General features: G+C 48.0%; 2 annotated features.

The window, feature by feature from the left end:
* Window positions 1449–1950: an enhancer, noted in NCBI's record as "H3K4me1 hESC enhancer chr14:104801365-104801866 (GRCh37/hg19 assembly coordinates)". NCBI's record gives its function as "activates a minimal SCP1, AML or CMV promoter by ChIP-STARR-seq in naive H9 embryonic stem cells {active_cell/tissue: H9 hESC(naive)}" and the evidence as "EXISTENCE:reporter gene assay evidence [ECO:0000049][PMID:30033119]".
* Window positions 8607–9220: an enhancer, noted in NCBI's record as "H3K4me1 hESC enhancer chr14:104808523-104809136 (GRCh37/hg19 assembly coordinates)". NCBI's record gives its function as "activates a minimal SCP1, AML or CMV promoter by ChIP-STARR-seq in primed H9 embryonic stem cells {active_cell/tissue: H9 hESC(primed)}" and the evidence as "EXISTENCE:reporter gene assay evidence [ECO:0000049][PMID:30033119]".

Below are 19609 nucleotides of genomic sequence, written 5' to 3' on the forward strand. Positions count from 1 at the left end.
ATCCGTCAGTCACATACTTTCTATGTGTTAGGGGAAATACCTTAAAATCTTTTTTAAATTGTCATTTATTTAGACATTTTTAAAAGAAAATCTAAGGGAAAAGTGCTTTGTTTAAAATGCAGGGAGGCCATTTGTTTCCAGTTATAGGCACATTATTATACCACTGACAAGGAGAGAAGTAGCTTAGCATTTTCCCTCCGCTTCTTTAAGAACTATTGGGGACTTTTGGCTTTAAAACGGGATCACTTAGGTCGAGGCATTCTTTGAAGCCAAACCGCTTAGAAACCAGTATTTTGTGCCAAGGGAAGAAATCTCACGGAACAGCAAAGCACTTAAATGTTCCACTTTAAGAATCTGAAGGCACAGATCGTTCACATCGGTTCCGATTTTACGTTCCATGAACGTCAAATGGATAAAGCCTCCTTGTTGCAGCTGTACCAAACCAGGGCTAACGACTGGTTGGATTTCACGCTTCTTTCAAAAGCTCCTGTGGTTACACCATCCTTCACGTGGCCTTTAATATCCCCACGTGCCGCGGCTGCATTGGAACCCAGCGCCACGCTCCCCAGTCTCTCGTGGGTTCCGGGCAGTGAGTGGCAGCCGGAGGGCCCAGGGCAGGTGCTGCCTGTCAGGACCTCAGCCTGTATGTGCCGGGGGATGTTCGTGCCCAACAGAGGCCACTTGTCTCTGGGCCGGGGAGGCACCGGGTGGCCGTGCCTGTCAGGGCCTCCTTAGACAGTGCCCTCTCGGGCCAGCCGGCGGCTGCCCAGGTCGGGAACAGATATGTCGCCGGCGACACCATTATCTCCCGGGCGAACGGCGACGTCTCCGCAGCCAGGCAGAGCCCAGGCTGCCGTGTAATTGGACCATTCAGAAGTAAATTATCTGCAGCTGGAAACAAGACACTGCCTTTTAACTCGGGCATTATAAGGTCAAGACTCGAGACATCGCTGGGAAAAGCAGTTATTGAAAAGCGATGGGAAAATGAAATTTAAAATTCAAAGCCACCATGGGCGGCGAGCGTGGCGGGAGGCGTGCGTCACCGGCGGCCCCAGGAGCCGGGTCAGGAGGTGTATTTGCATCTTTATTTTGCTGACGCTGGAGAGCACTGCGTGAAGTGACTCTAATATCAATCTGATGAAAAAATAAATCCTGGAACAAAAGCTGCAAGACACTCGTGGAGCCCGGGCACTGTAGAAGGGGCCTCGCAACAGACCCCGGCAGGGTGGTGGGACGTAGGCCCTGGGCTCTGGGCACCAGGCCGGCCTCTGCCCCACTTCCTGGCATTGGGATGGCTGTTCCAGGGAGGGTGACTCGGTCTCCCCCATTTCATCCCTCCTCTCGGCCTGGGGCAGTCTCCTCCCAGTTCCGCCCACAGCCCTCCGCACACACCCCTGCACCTGCTATCCTGTGGCCCCTCCTGCCACAGGAGTTTGCCCTCACCCCCACCCCTGTCAGGTGGCTCCCTCGGCCCTCGGCACCCTCCCTGCCCTCAGCCTGAGCCGAGCCTCTGTGACCTCATCCCGCTGTGTCGTGTGCACCATTGTGGGCCCTTCTGGGCAGTCAACAAGTGTGATGTGCTCACCTGGGCCCCGCTATGTGGAGTGCTTACCTAGGGCCCGGGTACCACACCCAGTCTCAGGCTCTTGCCCACAACTCATACTCCTTTTCTCCACATCCTTTTCTCTTCTTGTGCCTGGCATAGAGCCTAGCCCAAACCAGGACGCACAGGAGCAGGAGTGGCCCTCAGAAATGGCCGTGCCCACTCCCTGTCCCTGCAGCCCAGTGGAGACTGGGGAGTGGGGAGGCCCAGTGGGGAGGCCCAGTGGGGAGGCCCAGCCTGTGGGGACAGGCAGCCACAAGCAGACACAGCCTGAAGGAGAAAGCATCCCAGCCCCTCCCTCTTCTCTCAACCCCGCACCAAACTGCCCTCCCTCCCCAGCCCAGCCCAGCCCCCAGGTCTCTTCTGCTGCCAGCTCACAGTGGTCACATGCCTTGGGCCTGGTGGACCATGTGGAGGAACGGAGGATGGGTATTCGCAGGTGGAGGAAGCGGGTCCCTGCGAAGTGGAGAGCTTTGTCTGGGGTCACACAGCGACTTAGTCTGGGGGTCCTGAGACCAGAGCCCAGCCTAGTGCTGGGTCTTTGGCAGCTTCCATTCCCAGACGCCAGGGTGGGGGAGATGTTCCCTCACACGTCTGCCAGCATCCTGTCGATGGCCTGAGACTGTCTGCCCACTGTCTTCTGCGGGACCCTGGGCCCTGGGCCCTGGAAGAAAGGGATCCGTTTGGAGAGGAGCAGAGAGCACCAGCCACATGGAGCCCAAGGCACACTGTGTGCAATGCCAAGCAAGCCACGCACCGTCTGTGGGACTCGGTTTCTTGTTCTGATAAACAGGGGACATGTGTGCTCCTCACAGGGCTTCTGTGAAGATTAACCAGTGAGCACAGAGCACCCAGCCAAGGGGGCAAGTAATGGGCTGGAAGCTTCTGTATTTGTTTTCAGAGGATTTTCTGCTGCCTCTCACTCCTATATCTAATTAGAATTAGGTTCTGCTGGATAGAATAGAAAGCTCCCCAATAATCATGACTTCAACATGATAGAAGTGTATTTGTCTGTGTGTTTGTCTGTGTGTTTCTGAAGCTGGAAGGGGGCAGGTCCAGGGCTGCTGTTGTGAACTTGGCATCAGGAGCCGTGGCTGCTTCTGTCCTGTTGCTCCACCATGCATGGCCTTTATTCCTGAGGTTTCCTTTCCATCGCCAGATCTTAGTCACATGGCAGACCGCACTGCAAACAGGGCTGGGCAATGTAGCCTTTATTCCTGGAAGACACCTGCCCAGTGAAAATTGTGTGTTCTATTACTGAAGAAGGGGACCGCAGATATTGGGGGCAACTGGTAATCTATGCATGACCTACAGTCACATGCCTGAGAAAAAAAATATTTTTAAGACCTGGAATGAATAAGGATATTTTCAGCTAAAAGTGGGAAGAATTTGTTAACAATAATCCCTACTTTAGGAAGAGGGAAAATGATCTAGGAGGATGTTCTAAAGCAAAAGAAAGAATAGCAAGCAAAGAAAGGTGAGACATGTGGGTACACTTCAGTAAACATTGACAATATGAAGCCATGGTGGTAATGTCTGACTAAAAAGAACAAGGTAGAAATAAAATGCTTGATAATAATTACATATAGATAGGAGGTCAGTGTTGGGAGTGAAAGTATTCTCAGATCCTGTATGGTTGGAGAGGAGAGTAAGAGGATTACAGTATTAACTATTGCATTTTGCTTATTTTCTTGCTAATCATTTTAATTTTATTAACATTTTATATGGCATATATAAGAGTATAAAATGTATGTATATGGTTTAAAGAAGAAAAAGAAGATTAATAATCATGTAAACTCCTCTGTAGCCACCACTTGGATAAAATCCTCCCGGAGCCTCAACAGCCCACGGAATGCTCCTCCCTAATCATACTCTCTTCTTCAATCCCCAGTGTTCCCGGGTAATGCGAACTTGAATTTGTGTTCATCTTTCCCTTGTTTTCCTTGATCGTTTTTGCCATTTATATCTGTGATCCTAAATAACATATTGTCTTGTTTGAGCTGCTTTTAGACCTTATGTAAATAGAACCTTCTTCATATATAACGTTTGTGTCTTGGTCTTTCATTCAATACTATATGCATGAGGACTATCCATTTGAATGTTTATGGTGCAGTTCATTAGTCTTTATTGCTGTTGGGTACTCCGTTGTGTGAATATGTCACAATTTGTTGATCAGTTCTATCGCTGATGGACATTTATGTTGTCTGCAGGCTTTTTACAATCACAGTGCTGCTATAAACATCCTGGTATACATCTCCAGGTGCGTGTGCATGAGCCTTTCTCTGGGTGAGCCTGCTGGAATGCTGTGATTGGGGTGCAGGCATGTTTAAGCAATGGGGCCCCACTCTGTCTGAGCAGCCAGCAGGGCTGGAGCAGCTTGGACCCTGGACTTTCTGTCTGGCCTTGCAGCCTGGAGCAGCCTCGCCCATTTACTCCATTGTGTCATATAAGTACTGCTGTTTTCTGCCAGGAGTTGGAAAAGGTTTGGGGTCCTCTAGAGATGGCACCCGGTGAGGAGTTGCTGGCTTTTTAGTTATGTGCAAGTCACCTCTACTAGGTGTGAGAAACTGTTTTCCAAAGTAAGTGTAGCTCTGACAGCTGTGGCTGAGACATCCTATTGCCCACTCATCCTTTCCAGTACCTAGAATTGATCTGCTTCTTAATTTGTGCAAATTTGGTTGTAGTAAAATGATATCATATTATTTTATTTTGACTTAATAGATAAATACAATTTAAATCCAGTCCAATCCTATCTAATCCAATTGTCTATTATTGAGCATGTATATAGCTGAAACAACAAAACTCACACAGTACTAAATGGTATGTTCACTGATCTTCTCTTCCCTGATCCTGCCAGTGTCACCTCTAGAATTAACCATGATTGACTTAAAATTTTTTTGTTCTGGCATTTACACATCTGCATTTTTCTAAATATTGTGTATATATTGCTGCCTTTTTATTAATTCATTTAGAATATAATTTTTAAAATTTCCTGTTACAGTGATGAGAATTTAGCCCTTGCATTCTGCTAGCTCCTGTGCTCTCCTTTCTTCTCTTCCAGTATAGTTATACTACAATTTTTGCTTAAGTAAAGTTTGTACCTTTACATTGTCTATATAACATTCATAGCTCAGCCTAACATTATAGTATACTCCAATTATGTTTCCTTTTTTACTTTCTGTGTTTCCTAAAGTTATTCATTGCCTTGCTTTTTGATTTGCTTACTTTTTTTTTTTCTAACCTATTACTAATTCTTCCCACATCTTCAAATGTCCTTTTTGTGCACTTTTCCACATCACATATTCCTGTAAACCCTCTGCCTGAAGATCTTTTTCTCCTCTCATCTGGGCTGGCTGCACACTTCGTCCCGGGACTTGCCTCTGCTGATGCTTTTCTCCCAGGTGGGGGTCCCTGTTTCCTGGATCTCATTCATGTCTTCCTTTCTTGGTTTGCTCCCTTGTTTGGCATGAACCATTTTGTGGGTAAATGATGTGAAAAGATGGTTCATCAGCCCTGACAACCTTCAATATTCTGGTGTCCTGAAAAATCTGCTCTGATCTAGACTGGTTGCCCTGTATGCCTGGATCTTCCCTCACCACCATACTGGATAGTCCTTTCACTTTTCTCCTATTTTCTAGAGAAAACTAGCAACCACTAATCTTTTTTCAATCTCTATAATTTTGTCATTTTGAGAATGTTGTATAAATGAAGTTGTAAAGCATGTGACCTTTTGAGATTGTCCCCCCTCCCAGCACAATTCCCTTGAGAGCCATCTGAGTTACTGCATGCATCAACAGTGCTCCTTCTTATTGCTAATACTCCATAGCATAGATGTACAGCAATTTGTTCAACCATGCACCTATTACAGGAAATTTTGGTTGTTTCTAGGTTTTGGCTATTACAAATAAAGCTGCTATGAACAACAGTGTACAGATTTTGCATGTGAATATAAATTTTTATTTTTTAGGGTAAACGACCAAGAGTGTAATTGCTGGGTCATAGGGTAAGAGTACGTTTGGTTTCATAAGAAATTGCCAGACTGTTTTCCAGGTGGTTGTACTACCTTAAATTCTCACCAGCAATGTATGAGTGATCTCCAGTTTCTCCACATCCTCCCCAGCATTTGGTATTATCACTATTCATTTTAGGTGTTCAACTGGTATGTAGTGGTATCTCATCATGGTCTGAATTTGCACTTCTCTAATGGCTAAGGATGTTGCTCCTTAAGTGTTGTGCTCTGGCATCTTGTTAGCCTCATCCTAGTCCTGGCTCTGCCACTCCCCCTTCATCGTCAGTCCTAGAGACACCTGCTGCTGCCAGTTCCTGAGATTTTAAATATTCTTGGGAGCAAATCAGACTTATTCACAGTTTTTCCCTTGCTGGCTCAGGAGTTGTCTTTCTCAAGTCTGCTAAGGCAGTTAGCACTTGTCTATCTGCTTTCCAGCTTCCAAAATTTTGTTGTGTTTTACTGTTTACTGTTAGTTGTTTATGATTTAGTCTGTCATAAAGTACACTTCCCCTCTTCCTGTTGTGTTCTTCTCATCCCTAAGAGTTTATGTCATTAAAAAACCTCTCATTATAGTTTTAGTAGGAGTGTGGAGAGAAAGTGAGATGCATATGTTCAGTCTATGATCACAATCAGAATTCCCTAGAGGATTTTCAAAAGGCATTTCTGAGTAGGCACAGTGGCTCAAGCTTGTAATCCCAGCACTTTGGGAGGCCAAGGCAGGAGGATCACTTGAGCTCAAGAGTTCAAGACCAGCCTGGGCAGCATAGTGAGACCCTGTCTCTACAAAACTTTTTGAAAATTAGCAGTGAGTGGCAGTGCATGTCTGTAATCCCAGCTTCTTGGGAGGCTGGGGCAGGACAATTGCTTGAGCCTGGGGGATTGAGGCTGTGGTGAGCTATGATTGTGCCCCTGCACTCCAGCCTGGATGACAGATAGACCCCATCTCAACCAAAACAAAAACAAACAAACAAACAAAGGCATTTCTTTGATTACTGAAGAGGTTGAACTTACTTCCAAATGTTTATGAATCTGTGTATTTCCTCTTCTGTGAAATGCTAGTTCAAATTTTTTGTCCATTTCTTCCCACGGGGATTTTTGCCTTCTCTTATCGATTTGTAAAAGCTCTTCATATTTTTTGTATTCTGTTGGTCAGTTAGATGTGTTGCAGATACTTTCTCGTAGCCTGTGACTTGTCTTTTCACTTTTTGTTGTTGTTATTGCTTTTTGTAGAGAAGGGGTCTTGCTATGTTGCCCAAGCTTGTCTTGAATCCCCAGGTTCAAGCAGTCCTCCCACCTCAGGCTCCCAAAGTGTTGGGATTATAGGTGTGAGTCACTGTCCTCAGCCTTCGTTTTCACTTTTTAAATGGTTTCTTTTGCTGAATTGAATTTCTTAATTTTAATAAAATTGCCTTTTGTTACAGCTTTCCCTTCACGCTTTGCTCTTTTTGTGTCTTGAGAAGCCCTTCCCTCTTCAACAGTCTTTTTAGTTATGCCTTTCATGTTTAAATCTTTGATCATTTGGGATTTATTTCTGAGTATGATGTGAGGTAGGGATTCATTTTCTCTACTTAAAAAATGTATGGAGAGCAAGTTTCCCAGCATCTTATCAAAAAACATCCTTTCTACACTGATCTGCACTGTTTATTCTGTCAGTTATACTTCAAGTTTCCATTAGTATATATTTTTCTGTGTTCTCAGTAATCTTCTGTTGGTCTTTTTGTCCATATCTGCACCCATACCATACAGTTTAATGACTTCAGCTCTGTGCTAAGTCCTGCTGTGTTGCATAGGTCCCAGCTTGCTTTCTTCTTCAAGAGCATCTTGGCTAATCTTAGTCCTTTGCTCTTACATGAAAAAACCTCTTGTGATTTTTGTTTAAGTGTGTTAAATCTTTAGGTCAATTTGGGGAAAACTGACATGGTGATGAAGTACATAGTATGTTTCTTTATAAAATATATGATACATCTCTCCTTTTACTTACACCTTCTTTAATGTCTTTGAATAAAGCTTTCATTATTTTTCCCATAACGTGTTTGCACATCTGTTGTTGGTTTTATTCTTAGGTATTCAATATTTTTAATTGCTAGGGTAAATGACATTTTAAAATTTATATTTTAAGACCATGGTTGGTATAGAAATCGGTTTGTATAGATTGTGATTGTATTGAAATGCAGTTGGATTGGGGTATTGATTTTGTGCCCAGCAAACTTGCTAACTATCTTCATTCTAATTAGTATTAGTTTTTTTCCCTTCTACTTAAACAATCATATTATCTGCAGACCATGATCACATTTTCTCTTTTCTTTCCTCATGCATTTATTTCTTTGCTTTACTGAAACTGGACTGGCCCTTTGGTTAACTTTTGACTTTGTAAAAAAGCCTATTAAAATTATGAGTAACAACTGCCTTAGTGCATGCAGGCTACTATATCAAAATACCTCAGACCAGGCAATTTATAAACAGCAGATATTTATTGCTTACAGTTCTAGGGCCTGGGAAGTCCAAGATGGAGGTGTCAGCAAATTCAGTGACTGGTGCGCCGGTTTCTCACAGATGATGACTTCTCCCTGTGTTCTCATAACGCAGAAGCCGGAAACAAGCTCCCTCCAGCCCCTTCTGCAAGGGCACTAATCACCTCCCAAAGGCCTCATCACCTCTTGATACTATTGCATGGGGGTTAGGCTTCAACATATGAATATTGGGGGGATGCAAGGATTCAGACCACAGCAACTACTGAGACAATGTGAATAGTACACACAACCTCCAACCCGGTACAGAAGGAAAAATCAGGAATAAAAAATGTCTAATTCACATGAAGGTCAGAAAGGAAGAGGAAAATAAAGGTCAGAGGCAAAGTATGGAATTCCAAACGTGGAATGCCGAAATGGAGAACTCAGGTCCGGAGCCGGTGAATTGCCCTCCGCGCTTATGGAGATCGCCTGCAGCGCCACCTGCAGGCTGGAGGAGCACTCCGGGCCCCAGTTCACCGCCCTGGACCCAGCTGGCACCACCTGCGGTTCCCAAGGACGCATCCAGTAAGGGGCGGGGCGGGGCGGGGCGGGGAGGGGCGGGACTCACCACCCATGTGACCTGCACTGGCCTGGAGGAGCTGCCTGACTGCAGCGGACTCTGCCAAGAATTTCAAGAGGTGCAGTGGTCCAGTCATAAAGCAACATGAAAACGCTGTAAAAAGAGTTTAATCGCGCACACGAGGCAGACATTGCATTTAATTTATCACCCTGCAAAATTAAAGCCATTCTGGGGTTTGCTATCGCTCATGCAGGGTGGAGTTATTTATTGGACACTGTCAGAGCCGAGGGGATCTGAAATTCAGGTCAGGGAAAGTCAAGTTTACAAAGGCCCGTCCGGGTCCCTAGGGGCCCAGATGGCTCAGGGCAATGTTCCTGTGTCTTGCTGCTGCAGAGGCTGAGGGGAGCAGGCACTGTGTTCACATCCTTGATGAGAAAGCCGAGCTCCGTGTGGGTGCGTGCAATCCTGCCTCCCCGAGCTCCACGCTCTGACCCTCTAACTCCTCAGACCACTAAGTAGGCTGTCCCCTCACCTGCCCCTTTGACGATGTGCTGGGTGCCAGGTGCCTGAAATGCGTGCTCCTACCTGCCCAGCCCTGTAAGGAAGCCCTGCATGGTGACCCCCATGTCACAGATCTGAGCCCTGGCTGAGTTGATCACCGGGCCTGGCGCTGTCCACCCAGTCTGTGCTGAATCTATTTGAAGAAACCCATGGGGTCCTGGGCTTGGACCTTTTGCTTGGCCCAGGGAGGAGGGGCAGGGCAGGCGTGAGGCCTCCTAGAGGAAGGATGGCGGCCGGTTTGAAATACACCTGGGAAATGGCTCCGGGGGACACCACAGATTTGCCTTCAAAGCACTTGTTCAAGCAGTTACTCACTGGGACTGATTGCAGAGGAGGTGGGCAGGGGGCGCTGGCCGGGCCTCTGGGCTCTAATTAGTCAGGTAATAAGGCTGTTTGTGCCAATTTGCTGGGCCGACAGGCTGGCTGCTCACTGGCTGCCTAACGAGGTGGGGAGTTGGGGTGAGTGGCCCAGGCAAGGCCCATTGACTCACCAATGGGCTGCGGCTGCCCCTCCTGCTCCTGTCTGCAGGGCCCAGGAGAGGTGAGTGGAAGCTGGGGAGGCCGGAGGTCCCTGGCGTGGGAAGGCCACAGCAGTCATTGGCACCCAGACCAGCAAGACCAACCCTCCAGCTGGAGGCCCTCTGTCCCTCCGAGGACTCACTGCCCGAATTGCCAGACAACCTGCCAGGAGTCCCGGCACCCACACCTCCTGTCCTTGTGGGTCTGGGTTGTTTGCACTGAGTGCAGAGCTCTGCGGCTGATGTAGGGAGAGAACAGAGGGCTTAACCCCTTCCTGAATCCTCTCATTCTGGCCCCCACCACTGCTGAGTTTAACACCATCCTGACACCCACTTTCCAGAGAAATCAGCAGAGCCTGGAAGAGCCTCAGGGAGTTGAAGGAGAGACGAGGAGAAGGGGCTGCCACTGTGGGTTTTCTGTGTGACCTCGGGTGATGGCCTGCCCTCTCTGAGCCTGGGTTCCCTGTCTGTGGTATGAGCTGGTGCTGCAGGTCAGCCTTTGTGCCTCTCAGAGACAGTGTGTTGGGTGGCTGAGGGGGGCGCTGGGGGTGTGAGGGGAAGGAAGAAGCCCAGCAAATGCATGCGGTCTGCTTCCCCGTGAGATGTTCTGCTTTCTCCCATCTCTGCCACACCCCTTCTCCTGGGGACCCCCAGCCCAGCGCCCTGGACCCAGGGCCATGCTGACAAGGGATCCTGTGAGCAGCCTAGGAGCAGGCGCACATTCCACACATACTTCTGGAGCATGTGCTCAGTGCCAGATGCCACAACAGGGGCTGGAGACACTTGGGGAGCTCCAGGCTCACATCCCTGGGGAGGCAGGCGCCAGCCCCATAGTCCTCTGAGTAACTGTCCTGCAGGGTGGTGCTCAGCCGTGCCTGCCCACACCTCCATCGACTCCAGGTGGCACATCAGGGCAGGGTCACCCTCACCCTCCAGTTCCCAGAGGCCTCCTCTGTCAGGCTGCACCCTCTGTGAGTCCCTGGAGGACCCTGGGCTGAAGTCAGGCCTTTTTCCTCTCCCCTGCACAGATCTGGCACCTTCCAGCTCCTGCCCACAGATCTGTATTGCACCTGCCAAGCTCCAGTCTCCCACCCCCAACCTCTGCAGACTCTTCCAGCCTCCTCCAACTCCAGGTTCCTGCAGGATCCCTCCCTGTCCTACTAGACTGGAGTGACTCTGAAGTCACTTCTACAAGCCTGCGTTGGGCTCCCATGCAGATGTCCCATGTGCACAGAGCCCCGATTCTGGCTGCAGAGGCAGCTGGCACCAGATGTGCAGACACAAGGTGCCTGGGCAGGTGCCCAGACAGAAGCCTCAGTCTGGGGCCATGAGGTGAGCACACTCCCGAGGGAGGCATCAGCCCAGGACCTCAAACAACGATGGTGAGAACACCAGCCCGCACTCTTCCTCATTAGTTGGAGTCAACTTGGATGCCACCTTCGTGGGAAGGTCTCTCTTCCCCACCATACCTCTGTGCCTCCATCTCTCTCGGCCTTTCACCCTACCAAGGAAAATCTTCCTTGTCCTTCCTTTGTATCACTGATCATCACCCAGCATGATCTATTCATTTGTGAGTAAGCTTTCTGCTCTTTCCCCTGCGATGCAAGCTCCATGCAAACAGAAAGATTTGTCTGCATTTCTTTTCCTGCCAAATCTTTAGCATAAAGAATAGTGTCTGGCATGTAGGAGGTGCTCAATAAATATTTGTTGAGTAAACAAACGAATGAATTGGTTGTACATCCCCTTCGAGGCAATGTCCACACAGCACATTTATCATCGCTGCACTTGCAGGACAAATGGCTTCTGTGTCCTGCTGGCTTCCCTCCTTTTGGATACCAGTTGCCCACGTTTCCATTAGATCTTCTGATTTTTCACTAGCGCTGCCCAAGTGCTATCGACTGCCTGATGGGTGCCTTCCCAGACTCTTCTGCACATTGCACACTCAGGCTGTCAACACATCACTCCTCCAGACACCATGGAGAGGGGCGCCTTAGTGGCAAAATTTTTCCAATCGGGGGAGCAATTTTCTCAGGATAAGTTCCCATGAATTGCAATTACCTGATAGAGGAGCCCTTGCTATTGCTCTCGCCATGTGTTGCAAATTGCATCCTAGAAGCTATGTGCTGCTCACGTGCCACCAGCTCACAGTGCCACCAGCAGTGCAAGCACCTGCTGGGGGAAGTCCAAGCTGCACCTGCCTGAAGCCAGCATGAGGCTGAATCCCAGCCCTGAGCCTCCAGGGAGAGGCATGACCCAGACATGAAGGCAACAGAAAGATATCTGTGACCTGCCCACATGGAGGGATGGTGCCATCCAGGGTCCTTTCCAAAGAGGGCACCCAAGGGCAAGGTCCAGTGTGCATGGAGCTTAGGGCCAGGGAGGGTGAGGAGTGCCGGTGGAACCCCCTGGAATGAGCACCAGTGCAGAGAAGCATTGCCTCCCTGCTAGAGGAGGCCCCAATGGATCATCGTGACCAAGGGGGCAAGCTCTAGATGAAAGAGTAGGACAAAAAGAGAAAGGAGGGAGGGCCTTGGAGAGAAGAGAAGGAAGGTGAGCAGGCCAGCGGTCACTGAGCTGGGTGTCCATCTGTGGCTTCATGAGCCTGGTGCCCCTCTCCTCTCTTGAGGTGCAATGGCAGACCCTGTAGGGTCCCCTACCCCCACTGCATGTGCCCCTGCTGGGGCTGCCCATCCAGGGTCCAGGGCTGCCTCCTTCCCTCCAGGCCCTCTTGACAACCCCGCTCCCCTACCCTAATTTGTGGGAGGATTGGATCCTAAGCCAGTTTAGCCAACTCTGAGACTCACTCTGTGCCAGACGGAGGCAAAGTGTGGGGCTCACAGGCTCCAAACTGAAAAAGCAAGTTCACAAAACGGGGGGCACCCGGCACCGTGGGAGGCGTGCAAGACATTGGATCCGACTTCACTGGAGGGCATTGCGAGAATGTTGGAGATGGGGAATGAGAGAGACCGGCAGTGAAGGCGGCACACCCGCCCCACCCTCAAGGCACCGTGCACCGCCCTGTCCTCGGATCTCCCCTCCAGGGCAGGAACGCACCCACCTGACCGAGTTGCTGAGGACAGGCTCCAGTGTGAGTCATCTGGGCCACGCTTGGCTCCTTTTTGGTGGGGAGTGGAGGAGGCAAACTCTAAATTTTATTTTTGAAGTGAAAAAAGCTGCCATTTAAAAAAGTTGTCAGTCAAGTTCCACTGCTGTGTGTCCATCAAAGCTCGAATTGGACTGATCCTGCCATAGATAATGGTGATAACCTCTGGACAAATAACAAAAATAAATCAATCAACAGAACTTCCAGTTTCAGCTGCAACATGTAAACAGCTTGGAAGTCACTCCTCTCCTTACAATAAGAAAAAGGCGGAAAAAGTGAAAATCAGTGACTTTTCTCAAACCCATCAGAGAATGGGGTTGCAAAGCAAACTGCCACCCTCAAATCCCGGGAGACACATGAATATGGAAGAGCAAGTCTGAGATCTGCTCACCTGGAGCCGAAGCCGCTGGAGCCAGAAACCCGCAACTTGACTGGCAGCCTTGATGAACTGCTGGGGGCTGACCGTGGAGTAGCTTGACAGGGAGCAATTTCCTGGGGCCACACTCTTTTTTTTTAGATGGAGTCTCGCTCTTGTCGCCCAGTTTGGAGTACAGTGGCACGACCTTGCTCACTGCAACCTCTGACTCCTGGGTTCGGGGCCACACTCCTTATGGGGGGCCCATTTTCGTGGGCTTCACTCCCAGAAACCAACAAGTCTTTCATGGTGAAGATCTGAAAATGACCCCTGTGTCTCTGGCAGTGGGTGGCGAAGGCAATCGTGTGAAATATACCCAGTGCCTTCTTCATAACCAAGGCCTGTTCTCCAGGAAACCTTATTGCAGGTGGGGGAGGGATTTCCTCCCACTCCTGCCCCCGCCAGTGTGTCTGTCTCACCTTAGGATAAAAACAAAAAACATAGTAAACGAGGGCCAGAGAGCTTCAAAAGAATAGATTGGGAATATTGCAACCAGGAAAGGACTTGCAGGGATAGGAAGCTATACCCATGCAGAAACACGTGAAGGTAACAGCCTAGGGTCACAGGCCCACTACAACACTGACATGTAATTGGAAGATTATAAAGAACCTCCTCCCCAACACCTACCACAGCCCCAACAGGGCTCCCATATAATAGCAGTGGATTCTGGGACAGACACAGACTCTCTAAGGAGGATTACTCAGGGAAGCCCAAAGTCAAAAGTGGCGGACACAAACAAGGATACTAGAGGAATCTGATGCTTCTGGCACCCATAGCTACAGCAAACATTAAACATGGACCAACTCCTAGCAAGGTTAACATAAAACTTCACACTAGGCCAGGTGCGGTGGCTCATGCCTGTAATCCCAGCACTTTGGGAGGCCAAGGCAGGAGGATCACCTGAAGTCGGGAGTTTGAGACCAGCCTGACCAACATGGAGAACCCCCATCTCTACTAAAAATACAAAATTAGCCAGGTGTGGTGGTACATGTCTGTAATCCCAGCTACTTGGGAGGCTGAGGCAGGAGAATCACTTGAACCCAGGAGGCAGAGGTTGCGGTGAGCCAAGATCCCGCCATTGCACTCCAGCCTGGGCAATAAGAGTGAAACTCCGTCTCAAAAAACAAAACAAAACAAAACAAAACTTCACACTAAAGGCTTATTTCTCTCAGTTCTTACCACCCAATACAATATGTCAGGTTTTCAGCAAGAAATTACAAAGCATGCTAAAAAGTAAGAAAAAAACACAATCTGAAGAGACAACGCAACCATTAGAAATGGACTCATGTAACACAGACGATTCAATCATTAGACAAGGAAGGTAGATATAACTATAATTAATATGCAAAGGGCTCTAATGGAAAAAGACAACAAGCAGAAACAGATGATTAACCTAAGTAGAGAGATGGAAACTCTTAGTAAGAATCAAAAAGATATACTAGAAATTTTAACAAACAAACAATTATGACAGAAATGATAAATGGCTCATCAGAGGACTGACACATCCAAAGTAAGCACCGGTGAATTTGAAGATAGGTCAATTAACACGTCCCAAACTATTCTCTGTGTCTCTTAATATCTCTTTTGTATTTTCTACCTCTTTTCTCTCTAAGACGCATTCTGTGTAATTTCTTCAGTTCTCTTGTCTAATTTAGTAAGTCTGTCTTTGACTGCATCTAATCTGCTACTGTTTATATCCCTCTTCCCTCTTTAGCATATTTGTTGAGTAAACAAACGAATGAATTGGTTGTACATCCCACCAACCCATTGGTTGTACAACTGCCACCAACTGAGTCCTAGGGGTTCTCTTCCCTAAAGGCAGGTTGTGGGTAGCACACAACCTCAGGCTCTGCTTACCTTGACTTGAAAACCTAGTGACAAGAATGTAAGTCTTGGCAGAGAGACAGTCTCTTTATTCACTTTTTAAAAAATTATTAATATATAATTAATATACCATGAAATGCACCATCAGTTTTCCTTTGCTGTGCAAGACATCACCGACAATCTAGCAGCTTACAGCAACCATTCATGTTGTGCACGGTTCTGTGGGTGGTTCTCCTCTGGTCTGGTCAACTGACCTCAGCTGGGCTCACTCATGCACCTATGGTCAGCTAGCAGGTCAGCTGCGAGCCAGAAGGTCCAGGGTGGCTTCACTCACACGCCTGGTAGCCAGCAGACTGTTGGCTGAGGTGATAGGGCTTCTGGGCAACGTGTCTCTCATCATCCAGCAGGCTGGTCCTGTCTCCTCCATATGTGTTCACAGGGGTCTGAGAGCAGAAAGAAGTCAGGCCCCATCATGCCTATGTCACATTTGCTATTGTCTCATTGGATAAGCCAAGTCATGTGGCCAATCTCAGATTCTGTATGGGAAGGGACTGCATAGGGATATGATGCAGAAAGATGTGTGACTGCAGTGGTCTACCCAGATGTTAACTGTTCTATGGCCCCGGTCCTGCTTTCTCTGCTAATGGTCCCTACTCTGTTATCTATTGGTGTGAACAAATGACTCCAAAACTTAGTGGCTTAAAACAGCTATTTTATTTTGATGGGCCAAGAATTTGGAAAAGGCTTGGCTGAGTGATTCATCTCTCATTCAGTTGGTGTCAGCGGGGGTGACTGAGGCTGGAGACTCTACTTCCGAAATGCCTTCTTCACTCCCATGTTTGGAGCCCCAGTGCCTCTGTTTCTCTCTCTCCTCCACACACTGTCTCATCCCCCAGGGCCTCTCTGCATGGCTTGGGCTTCTTACAGCAGGTACATCTCAGGTTGGCTGAATTTACATGACTGCTGGTCTCCTGGAGCAAGCATTCCAGTGAGTGAGGCAGAAGCTGCCAGACTTCACAGGACTTAGTCTAGAGGTCCTGGCATGTCATGCCTGCTGCATTCTGTAGGTCAAGCAAGTCACTAAGACCAGGGCAGATCCAAGGTAGCAGCAGATTCGACTTCATTTCTCAATGAGAACAAAGAATTTCTATCCATCTTTAATCTACCACAGTCTGCCCTGTGGCTACAACTGTTGATACTCCTTTCAAATGCAACACACACTGAATCTCACTGAAGGCCCTCGCAACGTGCACCCAGCCCCACTGGAGACCCCCGTTTGTCTCATCTGTTTGGCTTTGGCTGGAGGTCCAGGACCCTCTGGGCTAATGAACTCCAGTGCACATGGGGTCCTGGGTCCTCCAACACAGTTGTTCTGATCTGAAGAACTGCAACCCAGATACGAGCCATGGGGCCCTTCCACCCACCTAGATTCTGGTGGTGAGACTCTGGGGACCACCAGAATGAACACCCATTCAACAGAGCAGAAAGCAGGAGTACATCACAGTCATTCCATGGCGATCCTGAAATCCACCCTGGCATGTTGCCAGCTCCTGCGCCCTGATGTGATGCAGAAGGAGTGTGACTGCAATGACCCACCCAGATGTCAACTGTTCTGGGGGCCCCTGGGTGAAGAAGATTGTGCCTTCTGGGCTCCTGGCATCATCCTCTGAGTCACTCTTTCTCTTCCATATGAGCTGTCCCTGTTCACAGGTAGGTCCTCAGCTCGGCCTTCCTCCTACCTTAGGAAGATAGAGAACACCACTGGTACAATTTTGTTAAAAGGTTTGAGAGGTTCTTCCAGACCAACTAAAAATCAGCTGGATTGGATCAAAGCTGCCCTGGCATTGCCTGCTGAGGCTGGCCTATCTTCACCCTGGGCAGCCGGCTATGGAACAGCACCCAAACATGCCTGGAAGCCTCATTGACTGGCTGGGAGCATCGGTGGGGCACCCCCTGAAGATGTTTAAAGGCTCTTTTGTTTAGCTGAGAGGGCAGTGAGCCACCCCCTTCCTTCTCTCTGAGGTCTGGACAAGAGCGCTTCCAGCTGCGCTGGCTTGCAGCCACACATTTCTGCCCCGAGATCATTGTTTGTACTGAGAATCTTCGTTGGGAGAGCTTGAGGGTGACACAGTTTTGTTTTTGAACTGAGCAAGTCCTGGGTCTTTTATGTTCACTCTAACTTCTGCTAAGAATTTAACTGTTCCTTAAGCTGACCCCCTCTCTCTTTGTATTTTATCACAGGCAAAGCTGGCTGCCTGGAAGGGTCCCCTGTCAGATCCACCGGTGGGTGAGCTGCCCTTTCTCTTTTGCAGGTCAAACTTTCCATTACTGTCACCATGTAACAGGGGCCCTTTCCTCCAGCCTCCAGTAATGTCCTCGCCACCCTCACCCTTAGAGCCCTCACCAATGATTCCCCATGCTGCCTCCCATCATCTTGTCCCCAAACCAATGACCCATGGTGAACTTTTCCTTATTAACATTTTTAAAATAAAATTGTATGTATTTAAGATATACAACATTTGAACATACACATAGTGAAATGACTACTATATATTTCATTGTATATATTTAAGATATACAACATTTGAACATACACATAGTGAAATGATTACTATAGTCAAGCCAATTAACAGAGTCATCACTCCACAAAGTTACCTTTTTTAAATGAGAGCACCTGAAATCTATTCTCAGCAAATTTCCAGCATATAATATAGTACTGACTACAGTCCTCATGCTGTACATTAGAGCTCTAGACTAATTCATCCCACATAACTGCAATTTTATACCCTTTGATCAACATCCCCCCATACCCACTCCTGCCCCTGGTAACCACCGTTTCTCTTTCTGATTCTATGTATTCACCTTTTAAAGATTCTACAAATACATGCAGTATTTTTCTTTCTGTGTCTGGATCATTTCACTTGGTATGATGTCTTCTGGATTCATCCATGTTGTTGCAAATGGCAGTATCTTTTCCTTTTTTATGGCTGAATAGTACTCCATTGTGTATATGGACCTCATTTTCTTTACCCATTCATCCACTGATGGACACTTAGGTTGACTCCATTTCTTGGCTGTTGTGAATGGTGTTGCAATAAGCATGGGGGTGCAGATATCCCTTTGATATGCTGATATCATTTCCTTTGGCTACATACCCAGCTGTGAGATTACTGGGTCATACAGTAGTTCTAGTTTTAGCTTTCTGAGGAAGCTTCATACTGTTTGCCACGATGGCAGTACTTATTCCCACCAGCAGCATGCAAGGTTGCAAGGTTTCCTTTTCTCCACAACCTCAACACTGCTATTTTTTGTCTTTTTGACAACAGCCATTCTAACAGGTGTGAGGCGGTATCCCATTGTGGTTTTAAATGTGTCAGGTTGGTGCAAAAGTAATTACGGTTTTCCATTACTTTCCATTGCAAAATCTGCAATTACTTTTGCACCAACATAACACATTTCTCTGATGATTAGCGATGCTGAGCATTTTTCATGTACCTGTTGGCCATTTGTATGTCTTCTTTTGGGAAATGTCTATTCAGACCCTTTGCCCATTTAAAAATTGGATGATTTGTTTTCTTGTTATTGGATCATTTGAGTTCCTTGTATATTTTGGATGTGAGTCCCTTAGTGGGTGAATGGTGTGTGAAAATGTCCTCCCGTTCCTCAGGCGCCTTCTCCTGGTGCTCACGGCTGCCTTTCCTGCACTGGAACTTTGTCGTTTGGTGCAATCCCGCCTGTTTATTGTTTTGTTGCCTGAACTTTTGGTGTCATCTCCGAAAATCCAAGTTCAGGAGCTTCCGCCTGTGTGTTCTACCCATTTAATGGTTGTAGGCCTTACATCTAAGTCTTTAATCCATTTTGAGTTGATTTTTGTGGATGGTGTGAGATCAGGGCCAATGACCCATGTCTAAAGATTTTGTTACAGCAGCACGCCCACCTTCCAGGTATCAGATTATATTCTGGTGACTTATTGCTGTGTAATAAATGACCCCAAAATGTGGTGGCTTAAAACACCCCCCCATTTTATTTGGCTCCTTATTTTGTGGGTTCAGGTTTGGAAAGGGCTCAGCTGGGAGGTTTTTCTCGGATCCACATGGTGTCTACCGTGCCCACTTCCCAGATGGCATCTTCTCCCACATGCCTGGTGCCTGGGTGCCACGTGGTTCCTCCTCCTCTACATGGGAGTCCACGGCTTCTCACGGCATGGCCAGGGAGTAAACATGTTACCCTGAAGATTTCCAAGTGAGTTGGGTAAAAGTCACAGGACTCTTGACTCAGCCTTGGGAGTCCCAGATGTCACTTCTGCCAAATTCCATTGGTCAAGCAAGTCGCCGGTTAAGGCCAGTGCAGGCTCAACGGGGCGGGTGGATCAGAGTCCATTTCTCCAGGGAGGAGAAACAAGAAATTTGCTACCATCTTGAATCTACCATGGTCTCTGGAGCCCGGCCCCTTGCCTCCCAAGCTAGATCCTAGCTTCTTCGGCCTCTCTTTGCTGTCTCTGTCCCACCAGGAGAACAATAGGGGTGGGTGCCCTCCAGGCCTGTAG

Source organism: Homo sapiens, chromosome 14 (assembly GCF_000001405.40).
Source record: "Homo sapiens chromosome 14, GRCh38.p14 Primary Assembly".
In the NCBI taxonomy this organism is placed as follows: Eukaryota; Metazoa; Chordata; class Mammalia; order Primates; family Hominidae; genus Homo; species Homo sapiens.